The sequence below is a fragment of the Homo sapiens genome, chromosome 2 (assembly GCF_000001405.40).
Source record: "Homo sapiens chromosome 2, GRCh38.p14 Primary Assembly".
Lineage (NCBI taxonomy): Eukaryota > Metazoa > Chordata > Mammalia > Primates > Hominidae > Homo > Homo sapiens.
In genome coordinates this window covers 173,277,629-173,284,532 of record NC_000002.12, presented here as the reverse complement: position 1 = coordinate 173,284,532, position 6,904 = coordinate 173,277,629, and the positions used below count along the sequence as shown (strand labels likewise).

The 6,904-nt window shown below is 43.6% G+C and overlaps 1 long non-coding RNA gene across 1 annotated transcript in view; it reads left to right on the top strand.

The window, feature by feature from the left end:
• The first annotated feature begins 2,496 nt into the window (after positions 1 to 2,496).
• The window catches only part of MAP3K20-AS1 (MAP3K20 antisense RNA 1), an 84,325-nt gene continuing 79,917 nt past the window's right edge, over positions 2,497 to 6,904 (top strand). The window contains exon 1 of the long non-coding RNA NR_033882.1: positions 2,497 to 2,851. This is a non-coding gene — a long non-coding RNA (MAP3K20 antisense RNA 1). The remainder of the gene's footprint in view (positions 2,852 to 6,904) is intronic.

The window sequence follows — 6,904 nt, the reverse complement described above, 5'->3', positions numbered from 1 at the left end:
GGTCTCATTACATTGCCTAGGCTGGTCTGGAATTCTTGGCCTAAAGTGATCCTCCTGTCTCAGCCTCCGAAAGTGTTGGGATTACAGGTGTGAGCCACCACATCCAGCCAGAAATACATTTTTTAACTGAAAAAAGACAAGCAATTCATGCTCATTTTTGACATATTAGACAAATAGGCAAAACAAGAAAAAATACACAGCTGCTCTCTCACCACCCAGAGATAAACAAAATTAATATTCTATTGTGTATCCTTCCAGACTTTTGTTTTCACACTCACACACACACTTTTTTTTTTTTTAACTTGACTAAAAAGTAATAATGTAATAATATCAGATTGGAATCTTGGGGATCCATTAAAAATTTACAGAATTTTATTCAATTTACTAAGTCACCATAGTGTTTAATGTTTAGGAACATGTAAACTTGTACAACTAAGTCCCTGACATACAATCCTTTTACAGTAGCCAAAGCCTGAAGACAATAGGTATATTTATTTTGGGAGTAAGCTTACTAGATTATAATATTTTAAGGAATTTTAATATTGATCCACTACAAACACAGTTATTACCCATAAGGCAATTTTTTTTTTTTTTGAGATGGAGTCCAGCTCTGTCACCCAGGGTGGAGTGCAGTGGCATGATCTCAGCTCACTGCAAGCTCCGCATAAGGCAATTTAAAAACAAAACAAAGAAAAGGGTTGGGGAGAATGGTTTAAACAAAGATGATTAACAAAAAGAGCAAAGCAAAAATGCTTATTTTGCTAGTGAAAGCTGGTTTAGAGCCTTACTATTTCTGTCTCAGGCCTGACCATTTTATTTTGAATTTTAAGATATAATAATATACTAGCAACAACAACAGCAAATACCATAATAACAGCTATGTTATGATGACAAGAGCCAGGTGAATGGAGCACTTTACATAGATACACTTTATTCTTTTAAAGATACTTATCTTACTTTTATTTTGGAGCAAATCTAAAATAATTACTAAGTGAATTATTAGTGAAACAATTAGTAAGCATAGTGAAATAATTACTGAGCATTCTTCTTCCTCAGGTAAGGAGAAGATAAAATATCACCAGAACAAACTTAAAAAAAAAAAAAAGCTTGGCATGGCGGCTTATGCCTGTAATCCCAGCATTTTGGCAGGCCAAAGCGGGCAGATTGCTTGAGCTCAGGAATTTGCGACAAGCCTGGGCAACATGGTGAAACCGTGTCTCTATAAAAAATACAAAAATTAACTGAGCGTAGTGGTGCCTGCCTGTAGCTCCAGCTACTTGGCAGGCTGAGGTGACAGGATTGCTTGAGCTCAGGAGGTTGAGGCTTGAGCCCGGGAGGCTGAGGCTTGAGCCCGGGAGGCTGAGGCTGCAGTGAGCTGTGAAGGCGAGAGGTGGCAGTGTGCTGGCAGCCCTTGCACCCCTCGCTTGCGGTGCCTCCTGGGCCTTGGCGCCCACTCTGGCTGCACTTGAGGGGCCCTTCAGCCCACCACTGCACTGTGGGAGCCCCTCTCTGGGCTGGCCAAGGCCGAAGCCGGCTCTCTGAGCTTGCGGGGAGGTGTGGAGGGAGAGGCGTGGGTGGGAACTGGGGCTGCGGCTGGCACTTGCGGGCCAGCGTGAGTTCTGGGTGGGCGTGGGCTCAGTGGGCCCCGCACTCGGAGCAGTCGGCCGCGCTGCCGGCCCCGGGCAGTGAGGGGCTTAGCACCCGGGCCAGCAGCTGCGGAGGGTGTGCCAGGTCCCCCAGTAGTGCCAGCCCGCCGGGGCTGCGCTGGAATTCTTGTCGGGCCTCAGCTGCCTCCGCGCGGGGCAGGGCTCGGGACCTGCAGCCCACCATGCCTGAGCCTCCCTGCTGCCGTGGGCTCCTACGCGGCCCGAGCCTCCCAGACGAGCACTGCCCCCTGCTCCACAGCCCCTGGTCCCATCGACTGCCCAAGGGCTGTGGAGTGCGGGTGCACGGGCCGGACTGTGGGCAGCTCCACCTGTGGCCCCTGTGCGAGATCCACTAGGTGAAGCCAGCTGGACTCCTGAGTCTAGTAGGGATTTGGAGAACCTTTATGTCTAGCTAAGGGATTGTGGATGCACCAATCAGCACTCTGTATCTAGCTCAAGGTTTGTGGATGCACCAATCAGCACTCTATATCTATCTAATCTGGTGGGGACTTGGACAATCTTTATATCTAGCTAAGGTATTGTAAATACACCAATCAGCACTCTGTGTCTAGCTCAATGTTTGTAAACACACCAATCAGCACCCTGTGTCTAGCTCAAGGTTTGTAAATGCACCAATCAGTGCTCTGTGTCTAGCTAATCTAGGGTGGATTTGGAGAACTTTTGTGTCTAGCTCAGGGACTGTAAACGCACCAAACAGCACCCTGTCAAAACGGACCAATCAGCTTTCTGTAAAACAGACCAGTCAGCCCTCTGTAAAATGGACCAATCAGCAGGACGTGGGTGGGGCCAGATGAGGGAATAAAAGCAGGCTGCCCTCCCTCAGCCATCAGTGGCAACTTGGTCGGGTCTGCTTCCGCGCTGTGGAGGTTTTGTTTTTTACTCTTTGCAGTAAATCTTGCTGCTGCTCACTCTTTGGGTCCGCACTGCTTTTGTGAGCTGTAACACTCACGGAGAAGGTCTGCAGGTTCATTTCTGAGCCAGCGAGACCACCAGCCCGCCAGGAGGAAGACGCTGCCGAACATCAGAAGGAACAAACTCCAAACACGCCGCCTTTAAGAACTGTAACACCTGGAGGGTCCGCGGCTTCATGAAGTCGCAGAGACCAAGAACCCACCAATTCCGGACACAAATGCATCATTGCACTCCAGCCTGGGTGACAGAGTGAAACCCTGTCTCAAAAATAAGTAAGTAAATAAAAATAAAAATAAAATAGTGACCCCCACCCCTGCCAAAGACCCTAATTTTGTCAGAGAAGCTATTCACTATGGTAAAGGAGCCAGTACTTTTCAGTGGTGGGTCTGACAACCAGCTGAGCTAATGTTGGCTTCTCCTTACCTTCAACCCAGCTCTGACTCTGTTAAAGGTCAAACTCTGGAAGTGCAGAAAGGATTGGGATTATTTTCCTTTCCTTGTCTATTAATGGTAATGTTTTGGTTTCCACATGCTGCAGCAAACTCAGGAATGGCAATTTTAAGAAGAGTGTGTGTGCTGGTTATGATTGCTTTTCTTTGTTGTCTTTGTTCTTAATCATTTGTTTTTAAATTGGAATCAGGTTGGACGCGGTGGTTCACACCTGTAATCCCAGCGCTTTGGAAGGCCAAGGTGGGTGGCTCATTTGAGGTCAGGAGTTACAGACCAGCGTGGCCAACATGGCAAAACCCCGATTCTACTAAAAATACAAAAATTAGCCAGGCATGGTGGCAGGCCCCTGTAGTCCCAACTACTCGGAAGGCTGAGGGATGAGAATCGCTTGAACCAGGGAGGTGAAGGTTGCAGTGAGCTGAGATCACGCCACTGTACTCCAGCGTGGGCAACAGAGCGAGACTCGGTCTCAAAACCAAACCAAACAAAAAACTAGAATCAATGTTTAGTCAGTCGCTCTTTCCAGCACTGATAGAACACTAACTTTTTAGGGAGCTCAGAACGAGTGTATCTTTTATCTAGGCTTTATTTAGTAAAATAATTTGTTAATAAAACTTGAGATATCCATCCCGCTATAACAGAGTGATTGGTAGCAAGGCTGGGGAGAATAGCTATCTTTTGAGAAATTCTCTTTTAAGATATGTATTAGGGGAAATGTTCGTGTCTTTATAAAACACAAACTAATGGAGTTCATGCTAATTTCCCACTCAGGGAAGCCAAGTGCTGTCTTTTTGTAGCAGCAAGACCTAGCACAGTCTGATTACGGCCCTGCAGGTTGAATAGAATGCTCATTTTTATCTTTCTATAGCTATAAATGGAATCAGTCTTGCAAGGTTGATGTACATGGGACCACAATGATCTGGATAAAAGACTAAACTTTGGTTCTTCTGCATTAAAATTTGGACAGCACTCTAGATTTTTCTAATACCACCAGGGAAATCTTTTCACCTCTGTAGAACAGAGATAACGGTGTTTAACTAAGGTGGTAATGTTGCCTGTTATGGGGGCCAGCCTCTGTGCTCGGCTGTGAAGCGCTACATAAAGAAAAAGGTTTGTTACATTTGATGGTTTTCCTGTTTGCTTGAGAAACCTGTCATGGTAGAAATAATGGATTGAGGGGAGAACAGGAAGGGTGTTTTCTTTCAGGGAACTTGGCTGAGGAAAACATAACTCATAGCAGAACACTACAAAACACAAAGGTTTCCACTCGCATGTAAACTGTCTTTTACTGAGAACCAAATTGTCACAGTCACAATAGCAAGCAAAATGAACTGTCTTTAAGGACAACAAAAAGCTCTCAAGATAATGACTGACAAGTATCATTAATTCATGATCCCAATAATAGGCACAATGGCCTAATTCAGGTTGAAAGTGCACACCCTTCAGGAACACCGGCAGCCATTCAGCTTGAAAAGCCGCCTAGCTCAAGAAACTTCAAGACGAAGACATGGGAAAAACAAAATTGCAAAGAAAACAAAAGTAAAGACAATCCAGGATTTGCGGAGTCTAATTAAACATGGCACAAGAACATGTTTTTAAAGCACTTGGCACAGAGTTAGCTATAAAGTATAGTTAAATTTATTATTACTACTGAGAACTGAGGAAAGAAAAAAGGCAGGAAAAAGAAATGAGAAAGTGATGACAGTTAGGTAATCCGGGCAGGCAGGTGTTTAAAGGCTCTAGGAGTGGAGTTGAGAGAATACAGGTCTAAAACTCCAGTTCTGGCTCTGTCTCCACCTTGCGTGGTCTTGGGCACTTGAGTTTACTACCACTTAACAGAGGATCTAACATTCTGGGCACTCGGGATGAAAAAGTTACAGTCCCTGTCTTAAGTATTAGTTTACAGGGTTGTTTACCATGCCTATCTTGATCATCTTACTGGTCACTTTCTGATGTCTTTTTCTTGTTTTTTTTCTTCTCTCCCATTTTCAGTAGTAGTAGTAATTGTAACTATGATTTAATTGTAGCTTATTTTAGGCCCTGTGGCTACCATCTAAAACTCAGTAGGGTTGACTTAAATCAGCATTTCTCAAACTTGAGTAATGTATGACATCCTTTTAAAGGGAAAGAATTATGAGATTCTCCTAGGATTACTCAATTACTTTGGTTATGATGTTACTTAAAAGAAAACCACCACTCCAAAAAGCAGAAACCTCTTTCCTGAGAGTTGTCATTCAACTATATACATCTCTCACAGACTTACAAACTGAATATAAACAAAATCAAACTTAATAGCATTAATTGGATATGAAAGGGGATGTTTTTTAGAGCAAAATTGTTGTTCCCATCATGAATACAGTGTCTTCACCTACTCAATTCTGTCATCGTTTTTCTGTGTTCCAATTACTGGGAAACCAAACTACTACATGCAGTGAGCTTTGGCATAAATGCATTTCATGTGTGTTTAAAATTTCCCCTTGTATTTTTAGCCCACCAAGAGTAATATTAATACTATTTGGCATTAAGAAAAACCCAGACTCACTTAATAATTTGCATGGCAGTGTATAGTTTTGAGGTGGCCACATGGATACTCCAGAATACATTCATACTAATTTTTTAGATTGTTCTGGAAATACGAACACAAAACTTTAAAACATTTCTTACAGAATGTGTGACCTTTAGAACACGTCTGATCTCAGTTTAAGGAACACTGAACTAAGTGATCCCTAAAATTCTACAAACTGTATTTCTTATTCTTTTTTTTTTTTTTTTTTTCCTTTGAGACAGAGTCTTGCTTTGTTATCCAGGCTGCAGTGCAGAGCATGATCTTGACTGACTGCAATCTCTGCCTCCTGGGTTCAAGCAATTCTCATACCTCAGCCTCCCAAGAAGCTGGTATTTCAGGCACGTGCCACCATGCATGGCTAATTTTGTATTTTTAGTAGAGATGCAGTTTTGCCACGTTGGCCAGGCTGGTCTCGAACTCCTGGCCTCAAGCAATCCACCCGCCTTGGCCTGCCAAAGTGCTGGGATTACAGGTATGAGCTACCGTCCCTGGCCTAATTCTTACTCTTAAAAAGAGTCTTAGCCAGGCATGGTGGCACACGCCTGTAATCCCGGCTACTTGGGAGGCTGAAGCAGGACAGTTGCTGAAACCCGGGAGGTGGAGGCTGCAGTGAGTCAAGATTGTGCTGCAGCACTCCAGCCTGGATGACAGAGCAAGACTCCATCTCAAAAAATAAAAATAAATAAAATAATAATTATAATAATAATAATTCTGTTGGCCAGGCACGGTGGCTCATGCCTGTAATCCCAGCACTTTGGGAGGCCAAGGCAGGTGGATTACTTGAGCCCAGGAGTTCAAGACCAGCCTGGGCAACATGGCAAAACCCTGTCTCTACAAAAAAACACAAAAATTAGCCAGGTTTAGTGGTGAGTGCTTATAGTCCTAACTACGGGGGAGACTGAGGTGGGAGGATAGCTTGAGTTTGGGAGGTTGAGGCTGCAGTGAGCCATTATGGCACCACTGCACTCCAGCCTGGGTGACAGAGTGAGATCCTGTATGGAAAAAAAAAAAAGTCTGTCCTCGATGATAACTTACACATAGTAGGTACTCAGTTTAATACTGGTTTAAATTGATTACACTTTGGTATATAAAATTATCTGATCCGATCTTTCTTAAAAAGCAGAGATTTTTATCTGCGTAATTTTCCTGGTACAGTTCTTATAAGTGCCACATAAAAATAGACATTAAATTCAGCAAATTTGTCGAAATATGCCCTTGTAGCAAACTGTGTAAATTAATCACTAGAGAATAACAATGTGCTGAAAAGGTTACGCCTTTACTCTGTTCTAAGAGAAATTATTGCACCTGC